At 39.3% G+C, this 17,078-nt stretch overlaps 1 protein-coding gene and 1 pseudogene across 2 annotated transcripts in view, besides 2 other annotated features; one reads left to right on the forward strand and one right to left on the reverse strand.

Moving 5' to 3' along the window:
- Window positions 3,302-3,741: a silencer, noted in NCBI's record as "silent region_15731". NCBI's record gives its function as "represses an Ori minimal core promoter by ATAC-STARR-seq in GM12878 lymphoblastoid cells {active_cell/tissue: GM12878}" and the evidence as "EXISTENCE:reporter gene assay evidence [ECO:0000049][PMID:35858748]".
- MMAA (metabolism of cobalamin associated A) overlaps window positions 3,473-17,078 on the forward strand; it is a 40,649-nt gene continuing 27,043 nt past the window's right edge. The window contains exon 1 of one of the 2 annotated variants that reach the window (NM_001375644.1): window positions 3,473-3,737. The gene's annotated coding sequence lies outside the window, so the exon portion shown is untranslated. The remainder of the gene's footprint in view (window positions 3,738-17,078) is intronic. The other variant, NM_172250.3, reaches the window with a different exon arrangement.
- Window positions 3,772-3,841: a silencer, noted in NCBI's record as "silent region_15732". NCBI's record gives its function as "represses an Ori minimal core promoter by ATAC-STARR-seq in GM12878 lymphoblastoid cells {active_cell/tissue: GM12878}" and the evidence as "EXISTENCE:reporter gene assay evidence [ECO:0000049][PMID:35858748]".
- NCOA4P3 (nuclear receptor coactivator 4 pseudogene 3) lies at window positions 6,685-10,220 on the reverse strand (annotated as a pseudogene).

Consider the following 17,078-nt stretch of genomic DNA (forward strand, 5'->3'; position numbering starts at 1 on the left):
TCTTCAGTGTTTTGATAAGTTTTTTTTTTTTTTTTCAAAAAACTTTTTTTCTTGAGACAGAGTCTCGCTGTCATCCAGGCTGGAGTGCAGTGGTGCAATCTCAACTCACTACAACTTCTGCCTCCTAGGTTCAAGTGATTCTCCTGCCTCTGCCTACCAAGTAGCTGGGATTACAGGTGCGTGCCATCATGCCCAGCTAATTTTTGTATTTTTGGAGAGACGGGGTTTCTCCAAGTTGACATGGCTGGCCTCAAACTCCTGACCTCAAGTGATCCACCCGCCTCGGCCTCCCAAAGTGCTGGGATTACAGGCGTGAGCCACCATGCCCGGCCCCCAAAACTTTTTATTCTAAGTTATCAGATTTTATTGGTATAAATTTGTTTATAATATTATTCTTTTGTGATTTTAATTAGAATTTTTCAATCTCAGCACTACTGACATTGGAGGCCAGCAAAATAGCTGTGGGGGACTGTCCTGTGCATTGCAGAATATTCAGCTGTTTCCCTGACCTCTGCCTTCTGATAGCAGACTCTCCAACTGTGACAACCAAAAATGTCTCTGGACATTGCCAAATGTTCCCTGGGGGCAAAAAACCCTCTGGTTGAGACCCATGTTTTAATGTCTGTAGAATCTTTAGTGTTCTTTCATTCCAGATACTGGTAATTTCTCTATTTTTAAAATGAGTTTTTCTAGAGTTTTGCAGGCTGTACAAAAGAAGACTATGCACTGGACTTGGCCTGTAGACCACAGTTTGCTGATCCTGACTTAGATCACTGATTTTTTTTCTTCTTCTCTAATAAAGGTATGAAAAAACTACAAATTTCCCTCTGAGAATACTTTAGTTGTATTTCATAAACTTTGAAATGTTGTATTGATGGTTATTAGCCAATTAATGGTTATGGTGAGTGTTTATGAAGGTAACATGAGCTTGACTGTTATTCCAACAAAAGAGCTTACAAACAGACTTTTGGTTCTGTGTGAGATGAGCAATGAAGAACAGTAAGTACTTTCCCAACTAGTTGATAAATTAACATAAACATCCATAATCTGGCAACAATATTCTTTTGGCTCCTATCCCTAAAAAAAGCCAGTCTGCAACATCCAAAACATTTACCAAGACGAGGAAATTGCAATGATTTTCTTGTACGTTATGGAGTATTAATTTGCTGCCACCTGCTGGGAGGCAGAAATGGGTTTCCAGCATTGCTAGCTACAATTTGTCCTCAACTATTTATTTTGAAAATTTTCAAATCTATAGATGAGTTAAAAGAACATTCATATACTATTCACCTGAAACTACCAACTTTTTTGTTGTTGTTGTTGTTTTGTTTTTTTGAGACTGGAGTCTCTGTCGCCAGGCTGGAGTGCAGTCGCGCAATCTCGGCTCACTGCAACCTCTGCCTCCCGGGTTCAAGCGATTCTCCTGCCTCAGCCTCCGGAGTAGCTAGGACTACAGGCACGTGCCACCACACCCAGCTCATTTTTGTATTTTTAGTAGACATAGGGTTTCACCATGTTGGCCAGGATGGTTTCGATCTCTTGACCTGGTGATCCACCCGCCTCGGCCTCCCAAAGTGCTGGGATTACAGGCGTGAACCACTGCGCCCAGCCCAGGTTCAAATTTTTTAAATCCTTAAGGCTATCTAGTTGACAGCTGTCTTTAATGTAGATCAGTCCTCCTGCCTTTTTTTATTGTCTTCCTTATTAACCTTATTGAAAAGTCCGAACAAATCACATTCAGAATTTATCTCAGTGTTTCCTCACAATCAGATTCAGGTTAAACATTTTTGGCAAGAGCTCTACAAAAGTGTATTTCCCATAGCCTCATAATGACAGGTTCATATTTTCGCCAGTATTGGTGATGCTAGCAATTTTTTTCCCATGAAGAATCTATTAACATTTTGCAAAACACTAATGTTCCATGGAAATGTGTTCCCTAAGCTGTACTGTTTAGAAAACTTCTGAATAAAAAAGTGACATGCATGAAAGTGTTTGAGTTTGTAGAACGAAAAGCAGGTAAGGATAAACTCAATTTTAAAATTAACAAACTTCTTCACTTCTAAGGTAGCACAAACTGAGCTTTCATCAAACGTAACCCTTACCGAAACAATTGTTCAGATGAGCAACGCCAAGTTTAAAGAAAGGAAGTAAACCGTCTCAAGAACTGTCAATCTGTTTGTGTTCGATAGGCTGAGATTTGAAAGGTTTGATTCTGTGTTCTTTCTACTAGATCCTCGGCTTCATTTAGACTTGTGCTTAATTTTCTGTCATTGGCTATTGAGTCTACAATCAATCTTTGGAGTAAAAGTGGTAGTCTTTTGGTCCAAATAGTAATAATGAAAATGGTGAGACCAGTAATTCATTTTTTATTATTCTGTATTCAGTAAGAATCAACCTGTATCAAATAGCTGAAAAGGCCTGAAGCCTCCCAAATGCATATCATTACACAAATTCTGTGTGAGGACTGACATCTTGGTTTCATATACTAATTATACTGCATGGGCCCCATTTATAACCATATCTACTCGTCATTTGATCCTGGCTACTGCCGATGGATGCTATCTTCATCACATTATAGCAAACATTTGGGTGATTAAGTTTTTCTCAAAAATTCTAGATTAGCATACAACGGCTTTACTACTTATATGTCATCTAAGACGTTTTTTAAGAATTAGTTACTACTACGCCCAACGCAGTGAGGTAGCAAATATTATGCCTGTTTATTTTCATCTCCATTTCAGGCTTGCGCGCCTTTCCCCCCTCGGGACTTCCCGAGGACACCCCTGCAGCAGTGAGCCCGAGTCCTGGCTTTGGCTGCATGTTAAGAAATATTAATCAAAATGAATGCGTGCCCTTTAAGAGAAAAAAACTGTGGGTCCTTCAGCCTTTAAAAACCATGCCGTGGTTTAAAAACTTAAAACTATATTTCGGCAGAACGCTGAGCATTTCTTCAAATCACTCTGAGAAGCTTGAGTGTCTTTAATTTCACCGGTCTGTCAAACGTAACGCGTCTCTCCCTCACCCCACATTTTAAGTTTCCAAGGAGCGGAAGAAGGGCCTCCGGGGGTCCCGGCCGCCGCAGGCTGCTGGGGGTGAGGACACGACTCGGCCTCCGTCCGACTCGAGGGTGTCGCGAAGGCCAGGAGGGAACGAAAGTTACCCTCGAACTTCGGAGGCGAAAGATTTCATGTGGATCTTAAAAAGGGCAAAACCTACCCCAAAGGCCGTAAACCGCCCTCCCCTCCCCCGCCAGAGAACTTCCCGGCGCAGAGCTTCCGCAGCCTGCTGCAGGCCGGGAGACCTTCACGCTCACTCGCTCTCCGCCACACGCCGGAACTGCGCGGCCACGTCCACGGGGACCCTGGCCATGCCCCGCACCGCCACCCAGCCCCAGGCGATCCCCGGGCCCCACGCGCCTGCAGTCGGCGCTGCGCCTGCGTGGGAGGATCCGGCGGAAGGGGCGGGGTCAGGTGGCACTTCCGTGGCTTCGGGCGGGTGAGTATGGGGAGTGCGCGCGGCGTCCAGGAGTCGGGACTGGGCTCCCGCCTACGGCCGCCCTCCCGCCGGGGGGCCAGCGCGGTCCTCCGGGGCGCCCCCTGGAGGATTTGGGGTGGGGGAAGGAAAAGGAGAGTATTATCGAATATTCTCCTAATATTGATGTTCGGGGTGCGGATATGTGTGGACAGGCAGGAGTCGGCAAATGGGTTCAAATGGAAGCTTTAACAAAGAAAGGCCCTGTACGTAAACAGTGTTTTAAAATTCTCATCTTGGTTAGGTTTCTCAGGTTATCTCTGAGCCACAGCAAGGCAGCTTTGTTAAGGTGGCTCTTCCCTTGTCGCTGCCAAACCCGGTAAATGGTTAACCTGAGGCCGCGTCAGAGAAAGCCACTATGACTCCTACCAAAGAGTGAAATTGAAACTCTTTTCTGGGAAATCAAATCCAGGATATAAAAGTTGGATTCAAACTAAAAGTTACAAACAGTATCTAGGTTCCGTCACATGGCGTGCCGGGCAGGGTCTAAATCTCTTTCAGCAGAGGGCATGCTGTCTTCATATGTATTTCTCATTAGAAAATGAAAGACGACCTAAACCAAAATAATATAAAAATTTTTTATTATCTGTCTTAAGAGTTGTACCCTAATCCATATGTTTAGAAAACATAAACTAATAAAACTTTTCCAACTTGGTAGAAAGCCAAAAGTTTCCAGAAAAACTGTGTGGATTATTCAGCATTTTGCTGTTGTCTACAATGTTCAGAATATTCTTTTACAATAATTTTGCACTAAATACCGGTTTGTGTTCAGGGTAACAAGAGGTTTTTAAAAAGTCAAAGACAAGGACAGGTTTTTTAAGGGCTGTATTCTATTAGGAGAGACAAAACAAGCATGAAAAGTTACATATCCATAAGAAATGTAAATCACCATTTGAGATATTTGAAGATGTCAAAAGAAAACCTTTATTTAGAATGGAAAGAGCTGGTGAATGCTCGAAACATTTACCATTTAGCTGATTGTTGCCATGTGGGAATGGGGGTCTCTCAAACGCAGATCCGATTTTCTCCAACACAGGCCAAAGATCTGTATTTTTACGTATTTTTTCTTGATTTTTAATGTTACTTGCAACCAATTTAGTTAACACACACCTTCTGTGGGTGGGCCAGGTGCAACTAGTTTGTGACCTCTGCAGATTTTCACCTTAGTACAGTCCTACACTTACACAATGGTTCAGTTAAAGATTTTTTGACTTTACAGTGGGTTTATCCAGACACAGACCCGATTGTAAGATGAAGACTCTTTGTATTCAGAAATAATTGGAATTAGAGGTCAGAAAAAGTCCTAGAGACTGGGATGGTCAGGAAAGATTTTAAGCTGGGTAGTATAGGAGAGATATCATAGAGGGGGAAGGATGTAAAAGATGAGTTAAATCTTGGGGTTGGGAGAGTTGGCAGGTTTGGAAGATAGTAAACTCTCCTTAGAGGAATTTTGGAAAGGCAAGCGCAAGAGGTGCTGCTGGCCTGGGGACTACACTTTGAGAACCACTGTCCTAGGGTACGGTGAACTTTTGGAGGAATTTGAGTAGGAGGCTAAGGAGATCACATTCACCTTTCAGAATGAGTCTTGCTGTGAAGTCTGAAAGGAGGACTGAGGAGGGAGAGAGAAAAGAGGAAAGTTTCTTAGAGGTGATTAGCACCTGCTTGATGCCAGGCCCTGTGCCAGGCTCTCTCATGCATACTCATTTATACTCACCATGATCCTGATACGTAGATCTTAATGTTTTCATTTTGTAAGTGAAGGAACTTTGAGAATATGAGAAATTACCCAGGTTCCATAGTTGGTCTCAGAGCTTCCTAGTTCAAGCCTGGATTTGAAATAGGGTGGTAGCAGTGGGAATCAAAACATTTAATGGTGATGGAATTTAGAAAAATAGAGACTTCTCAAGCACATTTAAGCCTAAAAGTAGGAATTGGGAAATCTGAATCTTACTGGAAAAGTGATAAAAAGTAAAGTGGACAGAGAACTTTAGAGAATCCCTTCATGAATTTGGTATTTGTTCTTTATTACTCTTAACTCATGATGACCTATTTAAAACCTATTTAAAAGTTGCTTATTTAAGAAGTCATCCTGCTCTACAAAAGTTTCCTGAAATTATTTGAAAAAGAGAAAATAAAGCCTTCTGTGGTTGGGGGGGGTGGAATATGGTAAACAGATTAATGGCATTTGACAGCTTATCTTCAAATCAAAAGTGATTAGCATTGAGAAATGGAAACACTTGGTACAACACTGCATTGCCTGTACGAATTGTGCTGTGCTGCAGACACTGATCTACTGTATTGATTTAGGAAATTCTGTATGCTTTTTCTTGCCAGAGTAGTTATTGAAATTGAGAATATTCATTGGATCAATTTCAAGATAAATATCCCAAGTCAGACTGGCTGCTGCTGAGCAAATTTTTAATGAAGGAAAATATCCATATATTGAAATCAGTTTAAAAAGAAAGTCCTTAAAATATATTACTGTAAAATCTAGAAAAAAATGTACATTTTAGAAACATCAATTAACTGAGTAATCAGTGTAGTGGAGTTATTGACCCATGCAGAATTATGGTGTACATTCATTAATTCTGTGAGCAAATAATTGTGCTATAAATACAAAGATAACTGATATGGTTTGGCTGTGTCCCTACCCAAATCACATCTTGAATTGTAACTCCCACAATCCCCATGTGTCATGGGAGGAGCCTGGTGAGAGGTGATTGAATTATGGGGACAGGTCTTTCCTGTGCTGTTCTCATGATAGTGAATGAGTCTCATGGGATCTGATGGTTTTAAAAATGGGAGTTTCCCTACACAAGCTCTCTCTTTCCTTGCTGCCATCCATGTAAGACATGACTTGCTCCTCCTTGCCTTCAGCCATGATTGTGAGGCTTCCTCAGCCACATAGAACTGTAAGTCCATTAAACCCTTTTTCCTGTATAAATTACCCAGTCTCGGGTATGTCTTTATCAGCAGCCTGAAATCAGACTAATATACTAGATATGGCCTACTTTTGAGATATCTTACTGAATCTTGTAAAGCTGGGGAATTTCTCTTGTATTTTGATAGTGCTTAGCTTACAAATTGTAGGATGAAGCCATATTCTCGGGAATCATGAAAATTAGTTGAAACATTTTGATTTGATTATTATTATTTTATGGCTGTTATGCTTTTGATGGAGGCAGATACAAAATTCATCAATGCAAAATAATGTTTTACATACTCATTAACATAGTGATTAATGTAAACTATATTTTGACAATGTAAAATACAGTGTGTTTGGCCTCAAAAAAGAAACTACAGAGTTAGCTGCAACTTAAGATAACTGGAAAGGCTCCTTACATTGTTTTTTGCCCACCACCTTTATTATAATAGTTCTATATGATGTCTGGGGAGGGAATTAAAAAATAATACAAAGCTCTTTCAGCTGTGGTTCAGAGAACTCTAGTGAAGCTGTATGGCAATGACACTGTGAGTCCATGAAGTTTCCCCAGAAGTATTTCAATAAGAGGCAGTTAAGAAGCTTAATAGTTTCAAAGTCTGGAAAGCAGCAAATATATCTTAGAGAATTTAAAAACATTATAAATATAAAACCCACTTCTCTCTTACAGAGACATTTTAAAGCATGGACATAACTTTAAGGAGATTGAGAAAACATCAGTAGTTTTCATAAAGCTTCAATGAACACCCCAAGGCACAAGTGTTGAAAATGGCCTGTTCACTAAAATGTCACTTTTGGAGGTACAGGTATACTGTACTTACAGTGAGAGGATGACTTTATCCCTGGTTAAAAGCACCAGGTGTCAAGCTCCACTTCCATTACCCAGGATGCACCAATAATCCCTATGATAGTGAATGGTTCAAGTACTATACTACATTTCCAACATGTCTTTTGCCTATTTGCTTAGTTGGTACTAGGGTTCTTTTGAACCCCACAGGTGTGTAGAATATTTTAAAAGGCTAGAACTACCTCAAAAATAGTCTTGAAATAATACCGAGCCCTTCTAAAAGAGCTCACTGGATATTTTAATAACATTTACAGAAAGAAAGAAAGACAAAATTTGCAGTAGCTGAGTTTCTTTCAAGTGAAGAATAATAATGTAGAACATGTAGTCTAAAATGTTTGGTAATTAATGTCAAAAGTTCCAAGATTATTAATATATATTTTGGTAATCACTATTGGCCAGGTTAATTTTTTGTGCAAAATACACTGTATATTAATAGACTAGGAAAATCATTATTTCAGACCAGTAACAGAAGAAAACCCACAGCTAGAGAAGCATCTATAGGGCAATTAAACGTTAGGGAAGTTTACTAGCTTTAGAATACATTAATACACTTCGATTACAGAAATATTTCATTTTTAAAACTTGAGTGTTTTAATGTACTTTTAGTAACGACCTGATCTAAGGAGCCTTGGAGGCTTGTGAAAAAGACATACCCACAAAGATGCTGCATTTCTGGTGTGGGGGTGAATTAACACTTCTGTAAGAAGGAAGGAACTGAATCAGCTCAGCATCAATACACAACATTTTTCTTTTAAACAGTAACTTATAATCTGATGACTCACTTCACTTTACTAGTTCAAAATTAGGCAGGAGAAGAACTAAGCTAACTGGTCAGACCCAGAAACACAATGATTTGGCAAGCCACAGTCACTCAGCTCATGATGTGTGATAATCAGCAGAAAGGCTGCTCAACTCTTGTCCACTCCTTCACATCTGTAGAGGAGTTTGATATAACCACTTCTTTTTATCAACTTTAAGCTGCATACAGGCAAAGAGATCACAAACTGCAGGGAGGCCATAATGGTCTGGGGGGAAGTTATATTCCTCCTGTAGAGGTGAATTAAGTAATACTTCTAGGTCTTCTTTCGAAGCAGTCACTTGTCTTCTCCAGAGGATAGCTGGCTGAGGTTGCCCATCTTCTTTCCCAGCAGGAGCCAGTCAGCTGTGTTAAAGGAACACCAGGAAGTGCTCATGGGGCTTTTTAGCTTTTGTTTGCCAGCTTTGTCTTCAGTATTAGGCCCTTTCTTAGGACTTCCTTCTTTGTATGGGGGCCTGATAAGCCACTCTGACAAGGTGCTGTTCTTTATGACTTGGAAGGAATCAGCAATTCTAGAAGGAACCAGCAATTCTAGAAGGAACCATTGACTTTGGTGCTTTAGTTCTATTACTTCTTTACTAGAAGGACAGAGCCACATATTCAGGGAATCTTTATGTTTCTCAGGCTCAGGTTTGGGTTCCATGGGCATCCCATTTTTATCCTTTCCTTCTTTGTTCAGAAGCCACTTATACAGAGCCTTCTCCTCACAATTCTCATCATACACGCACTCTGCAAAGCTTATGCAGGGCTCATTGGCTCTGCACACCTCCTCTACCTTACATGGGTCCTGATGGTTCTGGACAAGCCAATCCTCTGTAACCATGCTGGGGGTGTACAATGGTTTCTTGGCCCCCAAGTGGTCATGCAGGCACTTAGATTGCCCACGTTTTCCAACTCCATACCTTTGGGCTGGTTTCCCTGACAGTTGGTACAGGAGTCAGTCTTGACAAGCCAATCATTCATATTATAGGACTGGAACAAGAGCTCAAACTTCTCACCGGTTTCATGACTGCCATTCTCGGGCTTCCCCAGCTTATGGGATTCCTGGAGAGTCACTAGCCAATCTGATAGGTTCATCTCATCTCGATCAGGAAGCTCTAGATCTTCAACCTTTTCCATTTCAATGGAGAAAGAACTAGTAGTGGAATGGCTGTTACACTTTTGATAACTTGGTTTTTCAGGAACTTCCTGTTGCTGACTCTTGAGGAGCAAGTTTTCTAAGCCCTTTAGGTTTCCCCAGACATTAGTAAAGAAATTGCAGGCTCTGGAAGAAGTCTGTCTATTCTCCAAGGTCTGCTTTTTGGTGAGCCAGTCCTGGGGGTTGGTGCTGGGTATGTAAGGAGCCTAATGACCACTGGCAGGTTTGCTTCCAAGGAGCCATTTGCTGAGAGGGATAGCTGCAATACTGGATGCTGACTTCTGCTCTGGCATAGGGATATAGCCTCTTCTCCAGGAAGGGCCCAATATTTGATGAACTAGCATAAGCCATCAAGTGCTCAGAAATTTGAATTGTTTTGAGAGACCTAAATATGGTGATGGTCTGGCACAGAGCAGTTGTGTCAGCTTCAAAGAGTAGGACATTTGAATCTTCATACTTAAGGGTCAAACTGCCCAGTCTCTCTAGGCACACAGAGACTTGATTGGCTAGATCTTTGTTTTGGGTACACTCCAGTTGATGAATAAGACAATTGAACTGGCCTGATAACCAGTAGAGCTGCTGAGCCTGCTGTTGAATTGTCTCCTCTTTAAGCTGATAGATGAGGTCCACCTGTTCATTTAGTCACACCTCATGGCTTCTAAGACGTTCCAGATGACGGGTTATGCAACTGTGAATCTGAGCTTTGACCTCTCGCAAGTTATCTTTAATTTGCTGTTCAGCCTGGAGAACTCCACCAATAGCAAGCTCCAAGTCCCTCCGTGCATCACTACCCCTCAAAAGGGGTTCTCTATTACTGGAGCTGCCACTCTGGTCTTGGAAGGTATTCATTCTGCTCACAGCTCCAGGTCCCAGTGCCTCTCTGGGGCAGTCGGAGGGGACCTTGGGTGGACTGAGACACGGCCCCACACAAACCTAGGGCCCAAAGCTGATTCGATTATTGATCTAGTTCTTTGATTTCTTCCCATGAGAAAGCAGGAAAAGATGCTGAGTTACATGAGCAGGTAGGAAATAATCCTTCTCTCTACTTACATAATTTTGCCATTTTAGTGGAATTAGTCTGTTCTGCCTGTGACAGTATATAAAGGTAGAAAGCTGCTCATACAAGGCTGAGTTATATTGGCTCTTAAAAAATTTATGGGCTGCTTTAAAATCTGGTTAATTAGATAAATTCATGGGGTTAAATATGTTATGAACTTAGTTATCAGGAGTGAATTATTGTCCGTGGAGCAAAAAACATTTTAAAATGTGGTCTGTTCTGTCACCTAACACATCGAGATCTACTGATAAAAACTTAGCACTCGAAATAGAAACTAATTTTTCATTTTGGCCTAAGCAAAAAATAAATAAATAAAAAGATAAATAGCCAGCCATAATCAGGCATATTCAGATATACAGGATTATTTTATTTTCTCTAGAGTTGACACCATATAAATCTGGATTTGTGAAATCCATAGTTTTTTCCAAGTTCTGCCACTAGTTCTGAGGCCTTGGTGAATCAGCCTTATGCCGCTGAGCCTCACCTTTAAAATAGGATGTCATCCACTGTAGGATTGTTGTGAGGATTAGCTGAAAAAATGCATGCACGATGCCTCACACATGATAAACACTCAGTAGAAGGTAGCAGCTGCTGCTTGCCATTCAGATGCTCCAAAGAGTTGGGGGGAAGCAAGAAAATTAGTCCCCTGGGAAGAAGTTTGAGGATATCAAATCCAGAATTACATACATCTGGATAGCTTTTTGGTTTTGGCAAAAGAACTGGAGTAAGATGGTATCATCCTTTTTCTCGTTCTTTCTTTTCACTTAAAGTCCTTTTAAGATTTGTATTGGCATCAGAAGGCAGAGAACTGCAATCCCAATTGTGATAAAACCTGCAGTATAAATCATAAGCTTATCAGACGGTGTGGATTTTCTGAGAAAGATTGCAATTAAATTGTTGTAAGAAACCACTATTTTAAATGTTAAAGCAATCTAGAATATTTATTTAGAGAATATTTGCTTACATTATTATAAATGGACATAATTTCATGTAGTAAAGCTTTTGTTACTAAGTTTTGATTCCTTGCAAACTTATCTTACCATTTTTCTGTTTGGAAGGTTGGTTGCATGTCAAAGGTGTCTTGATTCAAAACAGGAAACTTAGAAGGCAAAATGTTTTAGTAAATGTCCTTCAGTCACACAGGTTAAGATTGTTACCCAAACTTTTCTTTATAGTTTAGTAGATTAACATAGAGTAGATGGAGTATATATTCATGAACCTAAAAAAAAAATTGGAAGGTTACTGTGTGCCAGGCACTGTGATAGTTTCTGAGGAAATATGCCCTTTTTCTGGGAGAATCAGTTGAGTTGAGCAATGAGAATTGGTAAGGAGCGGTCTATAAGTAGATAAATTAGAAAACAAGAAGACAAATACTATTTTTGAGGTGGGAACAAAAGACTGTGGAGCATTGAATAGAACACTTAACTGCCTGGAGAAGGTGGGGGAAGATGTATCTCTGAGGAGGTGCTATTTGAACTGAGTAGGCATTTGTCAGCAAAAATGTGAACGATATGCACTACAGACACCTAATTTTTATTATAGTATATATATAGTTTTAAAAAATCTACCATGCTCAAAAATGGTTACTATCTCATATATATCATGTTATTTCAGACTACTTTTGAACTTCAAATTTAACATGATTCTGATAAAATATCTGTGCATGGAAGAAATGGTAAAATGTGATTATTGCTTATTTCACCTTGCACATAATTCTTTTTACTAAATTTTTTTAGTATATATGCTGGCTTTATGTCTAATTTAGAAACTGACGTATAAATGCATTGAATGTAACACTGATAGTCACAATAACTGGTAAAATTAAGGATTCATCAAATTTGACTCTGATGTTAGGAAGAAATCTAAATGCAAAAGGAAGCAAGTTACAGGTTATGGCAAAGATAATAATTAAATCATGAGTAGTTATTAGGCATTTCTTATTAAATTTTAAAAATTCTGAATTTTATCTTTTAAAAAAGATTTTTTTGGTTACTTTTTCTTACCATAGAACTGTATTAGTTTCCTATAGCTCTGGTAACAGATTACCACAAACTTAGTGTCTTAACACAAATTTATTATCTTACAGTTCTATTGGTCAGAAGTCTGACACGGGTCTCACTAGGGTAAAATCAAGGTGTCAGTAGATCTTTGTTCCATCCTGGAGGATCTAGAAGAGAATCAGTTTCCTTGCCTTTACCATCTTCTATAGGTTGTCCTCATTCCTTGGTTCATGGCCCTTTTACTTCATCTTCAAAGACCTGAAGAGTGGATTGAATCCTCACATGATGTCACTCTGCTATTCATTTCTACCTCCCACTTTCATATTAAAGGACATTGGTGATTACATTGGGTCCACCTGGATAATCTAAGATAATCTTTTTACCTTGTCAGCTGATTAGCAACTTTAGTTCCATCTGCAACTTTAATTCCCTATTTGCCATATAACATAACATATTCATAGGATCCAGGGATTCGGACGTGGACATGTTTGGGGAGCCATTATTCTGCCTATCATAGTAACATATGCTGTTTTTAAAAAAGCAGAAATATGTGGTCAGCCAAAAAACAACATAAAAGCACCATAATACCACTCCTCTGTAGATGAAGTTATATACACATCAATATATATATAGTTATTCTATGTGTGTGTGTGTATATGGGGAGGGTGTCAATGTGTGTTTAACATTTTTGAAAAAGGTGTCACACTTCCTCTTAATCTTGAATCCTTTTTTTAGTAATCTGGTCTCGTGGATTTAAATGACATATAAACATCGAAGGAATGTTGAATTTTATCAGATGCTTTTTCAGCATCAATTGAAATGCTCATATGGTTTTTGCCTTCCATTCCGTTGATATGATATATCACATTGATTGATTTGTATATATATATTTTTTGTTTTGTTTTTTGAGACAGAGTCTCGCTGTCGCCCAGGCTGGAGTGCAGTGGCACGATCTCAGCTCACTGCAAGCTCTGCCTCCTGCGTTCACGCCATTCTCCTGCCTCAGCCTCCCGTGTAGCTGGGACTACAGGCACCCACCACCACGCCTGGCTAATTTTTTGTATTTTTAGTAGAGACAGGGTTTCACCATGTTAGCCAGGATGGGATTTGTATATGTTGAACCACCCTTGTACCCCAGGGATAAATCCCACTTGGTCATGATTAATGATCTTTTTAATGTATTGTTGAATTCAGTTTGCTAGTATTTTATTGAGGACTTTTGCCTCAATAGTTATCAAAATTCATTCTATAAGGCCAGTATTATTCTGATACCAAAACTAATGACATACCTAAAAAAAGAGTACTAGAGGTATTCTTTTTTATTTAGTATTCAAAAGAATACTAGCCTTGTATTAGTTCATTTTCATGTTGCTGACAAAGACATACCTGAGACTGAGCAATTTAAAAAAGAAAGGTTTAATTGGACTTACAGTTCCACATGGCTGGGGAGGCTTCACAGTCATGGCGGAAGGCAAGAAGGAGCAAGTCCCATCTTACGTGGATGGCGGCAGGCAGAAAGAGAACTTGTGCAGGGAGACTCCTGTTTTTAAAACCATCAGATCTTGTGAGACTCATTCACTATCAGGAGAACGGCACAGGAAAGACCCACCCCCATAATTCAGTCATTTCCCACTGGGTGCCTCCCATAATATGTGGGAATTATGGGAGCTACAAGGTGAGATTTGGGTGGGGACACAGAGCCACACCATATCAAGCCTCTAGGTATTTTTTTTTGGAATGTCTTTGGTTTGGGTATCAGAGTAATACTGGCCTCATATAATGAATTTGGAAATACTCCCTTTTCCTCTGTTTTTCAGAATAATTTCAGTAAGATTGGTATTAGTTCTTTAAATGTTTGATAGAATTCAGCAGTGAAGCCATCAGGTCCCAGGCTTTTCTCTATTAGACTTTTTATTACAGCTTCAATTTCATTACTTGTTATTGGTATATTCAGGTTTTGGATTTCTTCATTGTTCAATGTTGGTAGGTTATATATGTCTAGGAATTTATCCATTTCTTCTAGATGTTTTCAATTTATTGACATATACTTGCTCATAATAAGCACTAAGGAGACTTTGGATTTCTGCAGTGCCAGTTGTAATGTCTCCTTTTTCATCTCTGCATTTATTTATTTGGATCATCTCTCTTTTTTCCTTAGTTTAGCTTGCTCTTGATTTTCTAGCTCTTTAAGATGCATTGTTTAGGCCGGGTGCGGTGGCTAACACCTGTAATCCCAGCACTTTGGGAGGCTGAGGTGGGTGGATCACCTGAGGTTGGGAGTTTGACACCAGACTGACCAACATGGAGAAACCCCATCTCTACTAAAAAAACAAAATTAGCCGGGCATGGCGGCACATGCCTGTAATCCCAGCTACTTGGGGGGCTGAGGCAGGAGAATCGCTTGAACCCAGGAGGCGGAGGTTGTGGTGAGCCGAGATCGCACCATTGCACTCCAGCCTGGGCAACAAGAGCAAAACTCCATCTCAAAAAAAAAAGATGCATTGTTTATTTGAAGTTTTTCTTCTTTTTTAATGTAGGCACGTATAGCTATAAACTTCCCTCTTAGTACTGCTTTTGCTGTATCCCATAGGTTTTGGTATGATGTGTTTCCATTATTATTTGTTTCAAGACATTTTTCAATGTCCTTAATTTCTTCATTGACCCAGTGTTCATTCAGGAACATGTTGTTTAATTTCCATATATTTGTATAGTTACCACAATTCCTCTTGTTATTGATTTCTAGTTTTATTCCAATGTGGTTAGAGAAGATGTTTGATCTTATTTCAATTTTTTGAATGTTTCAGGACTTGTTTTGTGAGCTAACATGTAGTCTATTCTTGAGAATGATCCATGTACCAAAGAGAAGAATGTGTTTTCCACAGCCATTGGATGAAATGTTCTGTAAATACCTATTAGGTCCATTTGGTCTGTAGTGCAGATTAAGTCCAATGTTTTGTTATTAATTTTTTGTCTGGAAGATATGTCCAATACTGAAAGTGGGGTGTTGAAGTCTCCAGCTATTATTGTATTGGGGTCTATCTCTCTATCTCCAATAATATTTGCTCTGTATATCTGGGTGCTCCAAGGTTGGGTGCATGTAGATTTAAAATTGTTATATCCTCTTGCTGAATTGACTGCTTTATCACTATCTAGTGACCTTCCTTGTCTCTTCTTACAGTTTTTGTCTTGAAATCTATTTGTCTGATACAATTTTAATTACTCCTGTTCTTTTTTGGTTTCCATTGGCATGGAATAACTTTTTCCATGCCTTTATTTTCAGTCTGTGTTTGTCTTTATAAGTGAAGTGGGCTTCCTATAGGCAACAGATCATTGGGTCTTTTATTTTTTTTATCCATTCCACCACTCTATGTTTTTTTACCAGAGAGTTTAGTCCATTTACATTGAATGTTATTATTAATAAGTAAACACTTATTCTTGCCATTTTGTTATTTGTTTTCTGGTCTTCCCTTCTTTCTTTCCTGTCTTCATTTTAGTGAAGGTGATTTTCTGTGCTGATATGATTTAGTTTCTTGCTTTTTATTTTTTGTGTATCTGTTGTATGTTTTTTGGTTTGAGATTACTGTAAGACTTGCTATCTTATCTTACTATCTTGTCACCCATTATTTTAAGCTGATAACAACACTGTTTATATAAACAAATGAATAGAAAACTAATGAAGACTCTGCCTTACCGTGATCCCTGGCTTTTCAATTTTTTGTTGTTTCTGTTCATATATTACTGTCTTGAAAAGTTATTGTAGTTATTTTTGATTGGTTCATTGTTTAGTCTTTATACTTAACAGTAGTTTATACACCACAGGTACAATATTCTTTTGCTTACTTTCTATTACCAGTGAGTTTGTACCTTCAGATGATTTCTTATTGCTCACTAATGTCCTTTTCTTTCTTGCTGAAGTGTCCTCTTTAGCATTTCTTGTAGGAAAGGTTTGGTGTTGAGAAATTTCTCTGCTTTTGTTTGTCTGAGAAAGTATTTCTCCTTCATGTTTGGATATTTTCACTGGATATACTATTCTAGTGTACATTTGTTTTTTTCCCTTCAGCACTTTAAGTAGGTTATGCCATTCTCTCCTAGCCTATAAAGTTTCCACTGAAAAGCCTGCTTCCAGTCATATTGGAGCTCCATTGTATGTTGTTTGTTTCTTTTTCTTGTGCTGCTTTTAGGATTCATTCTTTATCCTTGACCTTTGGGAGTTTGATTATTAAGTGCCTTGAGGTAGTCTTTGGATTAAATCTGCTTGGTGATCTGTAAACTTCTTGTACTTGACTATTGATATCTTTCCCTATGTTTGGGAAGTTCTCTGTTATCCCTTTGAATAAACATTTTACCCATCTCTTTTTCTACTTCCTCTTTTCCTCTTTAAGGCCAATAGCTCTTAGATTTGCCCTTTTGAGGCTATTTTCTAAATCCTGGAGGCATGCTTCATTGTTTTTTATTCTTTTCTCTTTTGTCTTCCCTCACTGTGTATTTTCAAATAGCCTGTCTTCAGCTCACTAATTCTTTTTTTTTTTTTGAGACAGGGGTCTTGCTCTGTCACCCAGGCTGGAGTGTAGTGGTGTGATCAGGACTTGCTGCAGCCCCTACCTCCCAAGCTCAAGCAATCCTGTCACCTCGGCCTCCTGAGTAACTGGGACTACAGCCATCACACCCAGCTAATTTTTTTGTTTTTTGTAGAAATGGGGTTTTGCCATGTTGCCCAGCTGGTCTCGAACTGGGTTCAAGGGATCTG

This window comes from Homo sapiens, chromosome 4 (assembly GCF_000001405.40).
Source record: "Homo sapiens chromosome 4, GRCh38.p14 Primary Assembly".
Classification (NCBI taxonomy): Eukaryota; Metazoa; Chordata; class Mammalia; order Primates; family Hominidae; genus Homo; species Homo sapiens.